The sequence below is a fragment of the Homo sapiens genome, chromosome 21 (assembly GCF_000001405.40).
Source record: "Homo sapiens chromosome 21, GRCh38.p14 Primary Assembly".
Classification (NCBI taxonomy): domain Eukaryota; kingdom Metazoa; phylum Chordata; class Mammalia; order Primates; family Hominidae; genus Homo; species Homo sapiens.
In genome coordinates, this window is record NC_000021.9 from 37,222,519 (window position 1) to 37,237,508 (window position 14,990).

The 14,990-nt window shown below is 47.0% G+C and overlaps 1 protein-coding gene across 6 annotated transcripts in view, besides 1 other annotated feature; it reads right to left on the reverse strand.

Moving 5' to 3' along the window:
- VPS26C (VPS26 endosomal protein sorting factor C) overlaps positions 902–14,990 on the reverse strand; it is a 44,689-nt gene continuing 30,600 nt past the window's right edge. For 3 of the 6 annotated variants that reach the window (NM_001331018.1, XM_047440658.1, NM_001331022.1), the window contains 4 exon segments: positions 902–3,108; positions 5,136–5,288; positions 5,705–5,855; positions 9,859–9,933. In NM_001331018.1, coding sequence (NP_001317947.1) covers positions 3,026–3,108; positions 5,136–5,288; positions 5,705–5,855; positions 9,859–9,933 — 462 coding nt within the window. In that variant the 3' untranslated portion in view covers positions 902–3,025. 6 annotated transcript variants of the gene reach the window in all.
- Positions 10,404–10,453: an enhancer, noted in NCBI's record as "active region_18446". NCBI's record gives its function as "activates an Ori minimal core promoter by ATAC-STARR-seq in GM12878 lymphoblastoid cells {active_cell/tissue: GM12878}" and the evidence as "EXISTENCE:reporter gene assay evidence [ECO:0000049][PMID:35858748]".

Genomic DNA, 14,990 nt, shown 5'->3' on the forward strand with positions numbered 1-14,990 from the left:
TTTCTCTGATGGCCAGTGATGATGAGCATTTTTTCATGTGTTTTTTGGCTGCATAAATGTCTTCTTTTGAGAAGTGTCTGTTCATATCCTTCACCCACTTGTTGATGGGGTTGTTTTTTTCTTGTAAATTTGTTTGAGTTCATTGTAGATTCTGGATATTAGCCCTTTGTCAGATGAGTAGGTTGCGAAAATTTTCTCCCATTTTGTAGGTTGCCTGTTCACTCTGATGGTAGTTTCTTTTGCTGTGCAGAAGCTCTTTAGTTTAATTAGATCCCATTTGTCAATTTTGCCTTTGGTTGCCATTGGTTTTGGTGTTTTAGACATGAAGTCCTTGCCCATGCCTATGTCCTGAATGGTAATGCCTAGGTTATGGTTTTAGGTCTAACGTTTAAGTCTTTAATCCATCTTGAACTGATTTTTGTATAAGGTGCAAGGAAGGGATCCAGTTTCAGCTTTCTACATATGGTTGGCCAGTTTTCCCAGCACCATTTATTAAATAGGGAATCCTTTCCCCATTGCTTGTTTTTCTCAGGTTTGTCAAAGATCAGATAGTTGTAGATATGCGGCGTTATTATTTCTGAGGCACAGCCTCTTTCTTTCGTCTCCCTTTCCTTTCCTCATCTCTTGCTCTAATTGGAGAATTTGACAACTCTGAACCTCTGACTGTGGATAACCCCAACTCCAGCAAGCCTGGGCAAGAGTGGGACAGTTGCAGCCCAAGGTAGCCAAACATCTGAGTTTTGCCTAGTAACAGATCATGGAGAGGTCAGACCAAGAAGTGGAAGGAAGTGGCCGGCCTGAGGCCTTTGTTTGGGCCACTCAGGGTTGAATGAAATGATAAAGGTAGCCACGTTGTCTGGATGCGCTTCAGGTAATAATTATTCTCTAAGGAAAGCAGTCATATTTATATCCATAAAATCAGTTTATTAAATTACATAGCAATATACATCCCAAACCTTTTCTCAAAATTGTCATTAGCTTTTTAAATTCGTTAAATATTTTCATCTCATTAAAAATGGTTTCTTCCTTTAAAATTTCCCAGAAAGTGTGGCCTCTGTTTTCTGCTACTCAGTTTAAACACATCATCAAGGATAGATAATTAATGTCAGGTGAGCATAAAAGGAGATTATAAACCAGAAATGTGTTTTCTGGGAACCAAGTTTCAAGTGACTCAGATAAGTTTTATTAATTTCATGGGTGAAGCCCCTGGATAAAGCAGTGCCTAAATCAGGCTTGTTTACCCTTGGCATTATGTCACCAAACACTGTTTCAGGATACTGGAAGTACATACAGCTTGGGAGGTCTTTGGCCTGAGCCTGTTTTGGCCAAGCCCATCCAGAATGAAAAGTACAAAAGAAGGCTAGTGTGTGTGCAAAGCAGCATGGCTTATTTTGAGGTCCTATTAGTTGTGGGCCAACAAAACAGTGGCAGGATTTGAAGGAAGAAATGTATTGCAATAGTCCATATCCTTCGAACCACAAAGGGAGACTGAGGAAATGCTGGCTTTAGGCCAAAAAACCCTGGCTCAAAACAGCTTCCTCCAGTGGCTCAGAGGCAGACCAAATTCATCAAGTCAAGGACCTTTTCCTGCTACCACCTTGCGGAGAGGGGCCTTCACCAGCCCACCCTGCACATGGGTTTCTGCTGTTCAGAACCTACCCAGTAACAACAGGAGCAAACATACATGTTTTCCCCTCATGTAACTTTGCATTTAAATATATTCTGGGAAACTGCTGGGCACAGTGGCTCACACCTGTAATCTCAGCACTTTGGGAGGCCAAGACAGGAGGATCACTTGAGTCTAGGAGTTCAAGACCAGCCTGGGCAACATAGGGAGACCCTGTCTACAAAAAATTTGAAAATTAGCTGAGTGTGGTGGCACTCACCTGTAGTCTCAGCTACTCAGGAGGCTGAGGGGAGGGATCGCTTGAGCCAGGGAGGTTGAGGCTGCCGTGAGCTGTGATCCTGCCAGTGCACTCAGCCTGCGTGACACAGTTTGGAAAACTGTCTCTCTCTATGTATGTATCTGTTCAGGGAAATGGCAGCGTGAGATTTTATGGCAGTTCTTGAGACTTCAGAAACACTTCGGCACCAGCCAAATCCCCCCAAGAGAGCAAGGAACACTTTTCCAGTTGCTTAAAAAATTTAAAGTTATAATGAAAAATGTTGTAAAAAGAACTACAGAGGCTGGGTGTGGTGGCTCACACCTGTAATCCCAGCACTTTGGGAGGCCAAGGCGGGTGGGTCACGAGGTCAGGAGTTCAAGACCAGCCTGGCCAAGATGGTGAAGCCCCGTCTCTACTAAAAATACAAACATTAGCCGGGCACGGTGGCAGTCACCTGTAATCCCAACTACTCGGGAGGCTGAGGCAGGAGAGTCGCTTGAACCTGGGAGGTGGAGGTTGCAGTGAGCTGAGATCACTCCAGCCTGGGTGACAGACTGAGACTCCGTCTCAGAAACAAAACCAAAAAACTACAGAATAGAGTAGGGGTGGAGGGAAGTCATGCATTTCCAGTGGCTAGCACTTTGCGCTCTGCCTTGGCGAGTATCTGCAAACTTCCTGACCATCAAGTGCGCTTGCAGCCATCCTGGATGTCAACTGGCCACAGACCCTTTGCTATGGGGAGTCCCTGGCTACATCCATTAGCAAGTCAGAGGTTTCCTTTTGTCCCCATGATGCCACTCTCCAGCAAGCTCAAACTGCTGTCACAATTGTTTTACTGTACCTAAAAAGGAACAGATAAGGCAAGAGCCACAGTCAATGTTTTCTGTGAAATGGTCTTGGCAAATAGCATTAAGAAATCTTGTTGAATTTCAAAGAAAAGGTCTGATTAGAGGTGCCTGTTGGAAGCAGAAGCCTCAAGAAATGAGGAAGGAAAGTTAATTTGAGGGTCTGTTTCATTTCTGATACAGAATAATCACAAAAACAAGTATATGCCGCTGGCTGTAGCTCCCCTTAGGATTTGGATAACCAGCTGGATTTCCAGATGGCCACTCCCGTTCTCTATGCTTCCCTCCTCCGGGCTATATCCTGCAGAGCTTCAGCGGGAAGTTCTCCGTGATGAGGTGGTCAGGGTGAAGCAGCACCACGATGTTAACCTCAAATTCTGAGAAGAGAAGAGAGGGTGGGTTTGTGCTCACTGTTACCAAGCAGCGAAACCACACGCCGCCACCACTGCAGTCGCAGGAAGCTCTAACGGCGAAGGAGCACCCGGTGCGGGTGGGTTTCATTGCTGTCCCCTCAGCGCCACCCTGACCTTTCAGCCAAACTTTCAGTGGAGATGACTATGCTGATGTCTGACTACCTCTGTCAACTTTCTCTAAGTGAATTTTTGTCCTCTCATCTTGGAACATGAGTGATCAGGCTTCACCAACTACACTTTCCCTGTCCCTTTGCTTTCCTAAAAAGGATATTCTAGAACCCTTTCAATTCATTTGTATTCCTTTGCCTTATTTTTACATTTCCTACGGTTCTTAATGAAATAGCAGACTGTGAACCAGCGCATAGCTGTCTGGGCCCATGTCCCCAATCCCCAGGTGAGAAACAGTCTTCAGAAGCAACAATTTCATTGTTGCTCCATTGGATACTATTCATCCATCACCTTTCAGCAAACAGGATTCCTTCTCCACCGACTCTTCAGCTGATATGGGTGAGCCTTGTTGATCCTAACAAAAGGGATGTGTGTGAAGAGGAAGCACCTGACGACAAACAAGCACCATCTCCTTCCCCAGTGTGAGGAGGGGTGGGAAGGGCATCGTGTGGGCAGAGGGCACCCTGTGCTGAGCCCCACACTGTGGCAGCTCAGCTGTGGAAGGGGCCTTGGAGTCAGTGCCCACCTGTGGCTGGGGTCTGCAGGACAACATCCCCGTGTGGGAGTGTCCACCTCCGCCCAAACATCAGCCACAAGAAGAGTCGGCCACCAGCAGTGGCCGGCCTGTCCTTCCTCACTTTATTGTCACTACATTAGAGTCCTCTGGGCACTTCCTGCCACCACTCCCTTCAATGGGTTCTCCACCCCTCTTGTTGTGCCCCCCAGAAGGGTGGAGGGTGTGGCTGGAGTGGACAGAGAGGGATGCCCAGCAGGCAAGATAGGGAGCTGGCGGGGGCTTTCCTTTACAGCAGGAAAACAGCTGCACTGGAGCCGCCATGATACCCAGGCGCTGCTTAGAGTCCGAGTGAGTTCCAGTCTCGGGCCTGACCGTGCATTTGAGGTCACTCGCACGGAATTGGAGGGGAACACACAGAGGTGCTGCTCTTGATGTGGATGCAGTGCTCACTCCTGACTTCCAACCTAGAGGTCCCCGAGCCTCTCTGAATCACAGTCCCCTGCTACTGAGAAGGCTCGGTCCCTTCCTACTGGGTCTCTCTGTTCTACTTCTTCGTAGTGTGGAGTGATCTCCCAATTAACATGATTCTTATTAAGATGGAGGTCCCATTACAATATTTATAGGAAGAGTTAAAAACATGGAAATGTTCATGATACAATGTTAAGGGAAAAAGGCAGAATATAAAAGGGTGTCTGTGACCTGATTCAGATCCCATGGTTAAAATATGAACACACAGGTTCATGGAAACTCACTAGAGGCATCTAGGCCGCGGGGCTCAAGGCCTTCCTGCTTCTGAGCGCTCACTCTGGGGTTTTCACGGGTCCTGGACCTTCACACAGAGCCACTTTCTCAGTATCCACACCACCCCCCACTCCTGTGGTGCTCGTTCACGGGAGTTTTCTTCACGGAGCTCAGCGTCACCTGCCCATGTCTACACAGAGCTCAGCGTCACCTGCCCATGTCTACACGGAGCTCAGCGTCACCTGCCCATGTCTACACAGAGCTCAGCGTCACCTGCCCATGTCTACACTGATGTGGGTCTGTGTGTTTCCCCATGTGACAGTGGAAGTCCCACAAGCACCAGGACTGCCTGTGGGTGTGTCCCCTGTGCGGCACAGCAGCTCCTTAACAAGGTTTTGTTGAGCAGCCGAAGGGCAGCAGGCTCTGAGCTGTATGGCCTGTGGCAGGCCCTGGCACTGAGGGACCGAAGGGCGGCAGGTTCTGAGCTCTGTGACCCACAGCAGGCCCTGGCGCTGAGCGGCCCTTCCCATGGGCCCATGAGGGCTGGGAGGCGAGTGCCACTTACCCACTTTGAAGTTGGTGGTCTCCAGTGTAGGGCAGGTGAACAGCCTAGGGAAGACCATGTAGATGGGGACAGAGAGGCCCCTGCACACATCCCCGTCGGCGATCTGAATGTTCTGAATCTCCGTGGCGTCGCGGGCATAGCCTTCTGCACACCCTGCGGGAGGGAGGCCACATCACGCGGTCAGGGCCAGCAGAGGCTGCGGGGTCCACATCCGCACCGGCACCACCCACCAGTCTGCTCCAAGAATCCTCCAGGGTCCCCTCCCCTCACTTTCCTTAGACACGCGGCTACTGCTAAGGCACAGCCACGCTCTTACTTTTGCTTCCCCGACGTCCTCTCGTTTTTTAGAGTCAGGGTCATGGTCTGCTCTGCTGCCCAGGCTGGAGTGCAATGGTGCGATCTCAGCTCACTGCAGCCTCAAACCACCCTCCCACCTCAGCCTCCTGAGTAGCTGGGATTACAGGGGTGCGCCACTGTGCCCAGCCCCCCAGCATCCTCTTAACCATGGAACGTGAGGGTGGCAGTCGAGGGGGACAGGCAAGCGCCAGGCCTGGTGGCACGGCCCTCACCGCACGTCTCCACGCGCACCAGCTGCAGCTCCACGCTTCTGATGGCGGCTTCCGAGCTCTCCACCACCAGCTCTCCCGTTAGTGGCTGCGTGATGACACAGTTTGTTGAGTTGAGATGTCCTCGAAGGAGAAATTTGGGAAGCAAAGCTCTCTAAAACAAAATGAAAACAAATACATCAGAATGCAGGCAAGGGGGGAAAGTGCTCCATACTTTGGTGCAAATAAAACCTGGAAGCGAAGTTGGATAGTGGTTACACAGTCCACCGGGACCGTCTCACAAAACGGGAAGAAAGGAGCGAAGTACTGACGTCTTGGACATTAGCCGGCTGAATTATTCAACGACTCTCTACATATGGCACCTGACTGACACTCTGTGTACAGAGAATGCCTCAGAGAACCATCCTAATTGCCTAGTCTCAGAGCTAGAAAGCTCCTTCTTACCAAGGAATAAGACATGAAAAAGTCTGAGGGAGTCGCCATGGTGTTCAAGACAACCTGACACACACACAGTTAAAAAGAAAAGTCCTGGCCAGGCACAGTGGCTCAGGCCCGTAATCCCAGGGCTTTGGGAGGCAAAGGCAGGAGGATCACTTGAGGCCAGGAGTTCAAGAACAGCCTGTGTAACACAGCAAGACCCCATCTCTAAAAAATGTTTTAAAAATTAGCTGGGCAGGCTGGTGCACACCTGTAGTCTCAGTTACGTGGGAGGCAGAGGCAGGAGGATTGCTTGAGGCTCCAGTGAGCAATGATTACACCAGTGCACTCCAGTCTGGGTGACAAGAATGAGATGCTGTCTCTTAAAAAAAAAAACATTCAAAGATGTTCCCAATTGTACAATTTTTAAAACCCAAGACATTTATTTTATTTCATGGAAATTTGAAGAAAACTAGTTTCTTTGACGCTTGATGAGAAGCCTACAAACCTTTACTCTGCACACCTGACGCTGGCCAGGAAGGACTGATGATGGTCTAGAGCAGGGGTGTCCACTCTTTTGGCTTCCCTGGGCCACGTTGGAAGAAGAAGAATTGTCTTGGGTCACACATAAAATATATTAACACTAATGATAGCTGATGAGCTAAAAAAAAATCACAGAAACAAAATCTCATGTTTTAAGGTTTATGAATTTGTGTTGGGTCACATTCAAAGCCATCCTGGCCGGTGGGCTGTGGGTTGAATGGGCTTGGTCTAGACAGAGACAATTTTTCTAGGAATCTTTACCTCTGGCTGGATCCCAGTTACTGAAAGGATCAGATATTGGCATACTACTGTCCAACAGAAACATAATGCAAGCTGCGAGTGGAAGCCACATATATAATTTGGAATTTTCTGGTAGCCACATTAAAAAAGAAGGTAAAATTAACGAATATATCAAAAGTGTTATCACTTCCACATATAATCAATATCAAAAATATGAATGATGTTTTACATTCTTCTTTTCATCCTGAGTCTTTGAAATCTGGTCAGTATTTACACATCCAACTCAGCTACTTGGTCCAGCCATGTGTCCAGGGTCAATGGTGATGTGTGGCTGGTGGCCACCTGATCAGGCAGTGAAGCTCTGGACCTGAAAAGCCCGGGACTCTGGACCTGGCAGTCCCCAAAGGTACAGACCTCTGAAGAAGTCTGCATTCAAGATGGAGCTTTTATTTATTTGTTTTTATTATAAACATTTTTAGAGACAGGGTCTTGCTCTGTTGCCCAGGCTGGAGTACATGGCTCACTGCAGCCTCACCTCCTGGGCTCAGGCAATCCTTTTGCCTAAGCCTCCCTAGTAGCTGGGACTACGATCGCATGCCACCACACCCAGCTAATTTTTACATTTTTCTTTTGTAGAGACAGGTTCTATGTTGCCCACGCTGGTCTTGAACTCCTGACCTTAAGTGATCCTCCTGCCTTGGCCTCCCAAAGTGGTGGGATTCCAGGCATGATCTACTGTGCCTGGCCAAGACAGAGTTTTAAAAATAACTAAGAGAAGCTATTTGTGTAGAAAAACAAAAAGCAGTAGCAGTACACATTAAAATTCTTTTAGGCGACTGATGAAAAAGGATAGCTTTCAACATTCAGCTCAAGATACTGACTAAACAATCATTTTCCCTCTCCTCCCACTGACATGATATTAACATATACAAATAAAATAAACCTATACTATTTTGAGTCTGAGCTCCAGCCTAGTAGTTCCTGTAAAGCTGTCTTATATCCTTCCAATAAATCTCTTTTCTACTTAAAAATCTACAAGATTTTCTACAATACATCTCTTTTCTACTTAAAAAGCAAAACAAAAAACCACCAGTGGCATTTTGTGAATAAGCAATTTTATTTTATTTGCTTTATGTGTTATTTTCTTATTTTCCAACAATAAACCTGAATGGTTCTGTGGAAAGAAAAGTTCTTCGTGTTTACAAATAAACCTATACCTAGAAAAGCCACAAGGAACGCCCCGTGGGGACCACCCCAGTGAAGTGTTTCTGTCCGGCAGAAAGTGGACAGACAATCCGGCTCCCGGGAGTTCGGGGCACCCGTCCTCCAGGTGGCAGGGGGAGCGGTGAGAGCGGGTGTGCTCGCAGGGCGTGTGGTCAGCCTGCCATCGGGCGGGGGCCTGCGAAGGGCAGTAGGCAGGTATCACAGGTGAGCTCACCAGATGGGGGAAGCTGCCACAGACTGGCACCACAGCTTCCTGCAAAGGGGATCTCCCACCCGGAAAAGCAGACTCGGGGCAAGGTAGGACAAGTGTCCCACGTCATTCACAGCCACAATGCAGACAGCGAGCCTCTGGACTCAGGAGACAAGCTGCCTACAAACACCCCGGCCACGTGCCACACCCAGGGCAGAGCGCCTCTGATGAGCAGGTGCTGAGGACCAGGAGAACAGGTTCTCACCTGGGCTAAGGATACAGCCTCTACAACACCACCACACACATTAGATCCTCATTTGTAAATGTAAACTGACAACCGAGGATCAATACACATTTAAGGAAAACAAAAGCAAGAAAAAGACACACACACTCGACAAACAGAACCAACCCCTGAGAAACAGAATCAATACAGGAAAAGGAGATGAAAGGCCACTGCGTCCGTCATGGAAGCAGCAGCTATCCCGAAGAAGAAACGGTGTCTAGAAATGAATCACATTACTGCTGAGGTCAGCGCTTCCGAAGACAGGCTACAGAGGTGGGAGACGGGAGTCTGAGTGGCCCACTGGGGTCGCGTGCCCTCAGAGCCCGGAGAAGGGAGACGTGCAGAACAGACAGAGGAGTGGCCTTTCCTCCCTCACCTGTCTGAAAGGCTCCCCACGACACATGTCCAGCCTCTGAGGGATGAGGCCAATGACATCCCAGGGCCCAGGCCTCCCAGCTTGTCCTTCACTTGATCCTAGTCAGTGTGGTCCAGACAGCAGAATAAAGAATTAGAGGAAGGATGAAAAGTTACATCCAGGAAGAACTACAGGACTCCACTGTTTAGGAGAAATGCATGGCAGTGGATGAGAGGGCAAGATCAGGGAGGCCGGGGCCAGGCAGAGTTTTGGACGGGCCCAAGTTCACCGTGCAGCTCGAGGGACCAGCTGAGGCTCCACCAGCGGCTGCCACTGACAGCCAGACAGCCCTGTCCTGATGCAGGAGGCGGGGGAGCTGGGCTGGCACTGCCCAGGCGTCTGTGTCCTCACTGTACCTGCCCTGGCCGTGAGGCGTCCACCACGGAGGGCACTGCGGAATCTTTGAAAAGCACGTTGCTGCCCGGCCTCTGTCTGATGGGAATGCTGGGGAAGAAACTGCAAACTAAACATCCATGGAGGATGACAACAGGCCAGGGGGCCGGGCGCAGGCCCCGGCTAACCATGAGAAATGAAGGGACGTGGCCGTGTCATGGGCAGCAGGGGGTCTTGGGGGCCCATGATGCAGTAAAACTGAGGGAAAATGGTGAGATTAATAGACATGGACCCTCCCTGAGGAACTTTTCAAAAGCAGTCCTCTTCTAAGCTGCTTTACTGAGCTTAAAAAGGAAATCAAATGGAAAATACTGAGTAATTTGGGTACAATCAGAAATCTCTGCCGGCTGATGACGTGATTTCCAAATGAAGACCACCCGGGCAATAGCTAGTCCGTGGGGTCTGGCTGCTGGGAAGATACCCACGGCATTCGCCTGTGCAGGACGTCTTACCTCTTTGACGTTCTGTAAGGTTTCAGGTGTAATCGTGAAGTCCACGGGACTGGGAGTAAACTTCCCCTTCTGAGGCTAAAACGAGAGGTGAAACCGAAATCAGTAGGTGAAGGCCAAGAGTTCTGCAGGTCAAATAGCTTTTCCCTTTCAAAAATAAACCAACGGCAGCCTGGCGATGCAGGAAGGACGGGGAACTAAGAGGCGCAAGCCTGGGTCCTGAACACAGTTCTGTCAAATTTCCCCATCTTGCTGAAACTCAGTTTCCTCATCTGTAAAATGAGGGGAGAGATGTCTTAATCTCCAACGTGCCTTTCAGATTCAGAATTTTAAAATCAGATCTAAGAAACAGAACAGTGTTATTGGCAAGTACTTATTTGAAACCTCAGCACAGTGACCCTCCAAAGGGCTCTTCACACCTCCCAGATGGTCCCACTTCACAGACGAGGCAAGCGGGGCAGAGAGCTCAGTGGCCTGCTCAGCTCAGTGGTGGAGCTGGGGGGCTGAGCATTGAACCCAGGAGGTCAGGTTGCTATTGGCCTCTGAGCTATAGAGCTGTCACCTGAAGAATCATACTTTAAACGTTACCAAAACAGCAGTAACAGTGATCACCTCCATGTTACATAATTTCAGAATCTACAGATACAGCCGAGCTTCATGAGAGCCTGCCTGGCATTTTTTATCCAGGGGCTGGGATGCAAAGGGCCAGTCTACCATCCAGAGAGCCAGGGGGAGGAAAGGTCCTGCCTGATGTGCCGACGTGGAGTCCCTCTGGCCCGCGGCCTCAGCTGGGGGACTCTGGGCCCAGGACAATGATGCACACGTGATGCGCATGCCACCGACTGTCTCTGACCCAGAAGTCTTGTGTCTTCTGCCAGCACCCGTGAAACAGTAAGAGGCTAAATGGTGAGCTTGTAAATAGGGTAAACTCTCAGACCCCATGGGAGATTCCTATCATTAAGCACCAGAGTCCCCGAGTGAAGCTTACAGCGGAGTGAACGATAAATTCACAGGTCTTTGTCAAGTCCTTGGCCAACAGAGACCGCTTCATGTCACAGCGCAGTGTATACTAAAGGGGAGAGTTGGAGGAAAAAAGTTCATTTTAGTGGGATTTGCTTTCATCTTGGAATTATATTCAAAGAGACAAGTCAGTCAACATATTTTAGGGAAATGTTGTACAATCAGTGCATTATAGAAAATTAACATACATAATATAATACATAATAGGATAGTTAATGTTCAAAATAAAGGCATTTCTGTTTTAAAAATGAACCACTTTAAGGTTATTCTTCAATCTGTTTGCACAGCTGGCCTGCAGTTGGACCCACTGGCAAACAGGTGCACGGTCCCACCTGTAGCAGGGAGCAGGCTGGCGAGACAGAAAGGGCAGTGCGCTCAGGAGCAGACGCCAGGCCAGATCCCGTTGTTGTCTGCCTTACTGTGCGAGCCCAGACAGATAACACAACTTGTCTGAGCTTCTGCTTCCCTTCTGTAGAATGGGGCTCTTAAGACCCACCTGCAGCGAGACTCCAATGAGATCATGTGTGACAAGCACTCAGCACAGGGCTGGCACAAAGCAATGCTGGAAAACAGCAGCTACTTTGTAAGCGGGATTAGAAAATCCATGCAGTGAGGACTGCAACCCTGGGACAGCACCCAGCATGTCACAACCCTTCCTCGCTGGGCACCTGCTCTGAGTGCATAGCACTGCCCTGGGCACCAGAGCCAAGCTCAAGGTCACACCTGGTCCTCAGGGAACTTCTAGTTTACTGAATATGCAGTAACCCACACATCCATCAACCAACTTCCACAAGGGTCAACTCATGGCTAATCTTATTTCTCGAGACATCTGAGGTCTCTCTCCATCTGCCAACACACAGATGTAGCCTGCACCTCAAAGAAAAAGTGGGTTGGAAAACAATGTAGCATCGCACTTGCACACTTGCTTTTTTAATGTGGCAGAGCCGCATTCCATTTCTCTGCTGTCCCTAGGTTAGTTTTCTGAGCTGGTTGCTACCATGGTGCCTACTGCAAGGTGAGCTCTATTCCCCCAAGGGGAGCCCCACTGCAGAGCTGGTATTGAGCTTAAAGCAGGCTTTGAACGGAGACTGTTGCTTCAAATCCCTGTCCGTGAGCTGAGAGACTATTTAAAAATGTAATTCTACAGCAGGACCACTGTTGTAATGCCAGTCTTTAAAAAAAAATCACATAATCCACGTTTAATAAAGTTAGTTGTTGTTTTAATCGTCCAGGAAAAACTTCAGAATTATGTCAAAAATAATTTTCATAACTCGGACTCTATGCATAACTGAATCTTCCAAGAAGCTAATATTCGTATGAACAACCTGTCCGCATGAAATAAGAAGTTACTATATATATTTAAGGTACTACTGGGAGAGTAAAACATTGTTTAAAAGAATCATCCTTGTCTGCAAGGATCTTTATGTAGAATATATATACAATATATATATTCTTTTTTTGTTTTTTAATACGGAGTCTCACTCTGTCACCCAGGCTGAAGTGCGGTGGCGTGATCTCGGTTCACTGCAACCTCCACCTCCTGGTTTCAAGTGATTCTCTTGCCTCAGCCTCCTGAGTATCTGGAATTACAGGGGCCGCGCCACCATGGCTGGCTAATTTTTTTTTTTTTGAGATGGAGTTTCACTCTTGTTGCTCAGGCTGGAGTGCGATGGCGTGATCTCGGCTCACTGCAAACTCTGCCTCCTGGGTTCAAGCAATTCTCCTGCCTCAGCCTCCCGAGTAGCTGAGATTACAGGCATCCACCACCATGCCCGGCTAATTTTTGTATTTTAGTAGAGATGGGGTTTCACCATGTTAGTCAGGCTGGTCTTGACCTCAGGTGATCCACATGCCTTGGCCTTCCAAAGTGCTGGGATTACAGGTGTGAGCCACCGTGCCTGGCCTAATTTTTGTATTTTTAGTAGATACGGGGTTTCACCATGTTGGCCAGGCTGGTCTCGAACTCCTGACCTTAGGTGATCTGCCCACCTCCGCCTCCCAAACTGCTGGGATTACAGGCGTGAGCCACGGTGCCCAGCCCTGTCCATAGTTTTAAAGTAGATTCCTATAAAAGGAATTTTTAACTTTGAAAAGGGATGACTAGGATCTCTAGAAATGAGTGCTGAATATACAATTTCAGCAGACATGTTTTATGTGATAGGATAAACGCTTGCTAGCACAGCTACAAGAGTAAAGCAAGAGTAGAACAAACCTAATAAAACTTGCCTACAATTTAAATTATTGTAAAAAGAAGAAGTAGATGCACAAAGGGCAACTACGGAAGACTCTGATGATCATATGAAGTATCTAGTAACAAAGACAAACATGAACGCAACATGACTGAGAAGAATGTCAAGCTCTTCATCTAAAAAATGACAAGAAAGCCAAGCCTCTGGAAGTCAGGAATATAATACTGGCATTTGATACATATACATATATATGTGTGTATATGTGTGTGTATATATATATATATATATATATATATATTTTTTTTTTTAATTAAAAAATTTTTTTCTTAAGAGATGAGGTATTGCTATGTTGCCCAGGCTGGACTTGAACTTCTGGGCTCAAGTGATTCTCCTACCTCAGCCTCCCAAGTGGCTGGGTTTACAGGTGCATGCCGCTGCACCCAGCACGTCTATCTTTTAAATCCTTTATTCTGATTTATGATTTTTACCGTTTTAGATTGTTACAACACAATTCAATTTATGAATGAAAAATTTCTTGGCACATAATTTAAGAAAGATGATATTAGGGTTTAGCAACAAAAGTTTCTATCCAAAGAAATGTGCCTATGTTAACCTTTAGAGTAAGTGCGGTAAACAGTGCGGGCCGAGGAGTGCTGGTCTGGACCCGCAGGCTGAGGCTGGCCTGTGTGACCACAGGAAGTCACTGCCGTCTCTGGGCGGCACTTGCTCTACTATAAAACTGTAAGAAAAAGACCTGCCAAATAATGGCATGAATGAATGAATGGATGGATGGATGATGACAGATTTAAAAAAACATAATCTTAGTTTCTCTTAAATTTATTTTCTCAAAAGACGACAAATTTTGATATGAATCAAGAATTAATCAATACTTGAGAATTTTTACAAATTCTGATAGGTGTGCAAATGTTAACTGTAATTATAGAGACAAACGTCCTTAGTTTTTGGAGATGCGCAATGAGGTATTTTGAGATGAAGTATCAAGACTCTGAAACTAACTTTAAAATGATTTAGAAAAAAATCTAAATTTTTAGGTGAACAAAGATGGCAAAATACTATTAAGTGCTGAATGACAATAAGTGTGATAAAGTCATGGAAATCAGAGGTTAAGCTAAGAAATCTCTTCATTGTTAGAAATCGGTGAGATAGTTGGGGAGGTACTGAATTCCAAATTGTAGTACTCTGAGGTTAACCCTCAAATGGTAAAATCTGATGATGAAAAGACGAGGGTAGGGGCAATTATTCCCTTTACTAAGGAACCCACCACCTGTTAACTCTCCTACTATATTTTAAGTAGCCTCCAATGTACACACAGCTCTGCAGCAACAGAAGCACACAAGCTTTTTGTTTTGTTTTCTTTTGTAGAGATGAGATCTTGCGTTGTTGCCCAGGCTGGTCTTGAACTCCTGGGTTCAAGCAATCCTCCTGCCATGGCCTCCCAAAGTGCAGGGATGACAAGCGTGAGCCACTGTGCCTGGCCAGCACACACGTTTTCTATGTATATCTGAACATCTGTCTTGGCAACATGTGGAAAAGGATGGGGTTTCCAATTTGACTTTAAACAAATTCATCTTCTTTTGGTAAGTCTTGATGAACGCAGGAGTTAACAAATATGATCACTGAAAACGTGATCTTATTCCAGTTTCTAATGAACATATTCTTGTATTTTTAAATCAACCATATTAAAGAACTGCCGTGTGGATAAAGCAAGTCGATACTGATTCTGGGTAGATAATAAAAATAATTTCCAAAATCAATGTTCAAGATATCTTCAGTATTGCCAAAAAGGCATTTTTCATTCAGTTTCTTTCAGGGTGGAAACAGTCCCAACCTAGAAAGCTGATCAGAAGACTCCCACCCACATACCAGCAATTGGTATCTGCATGGCTACGTACGCAGCTTCCTCTG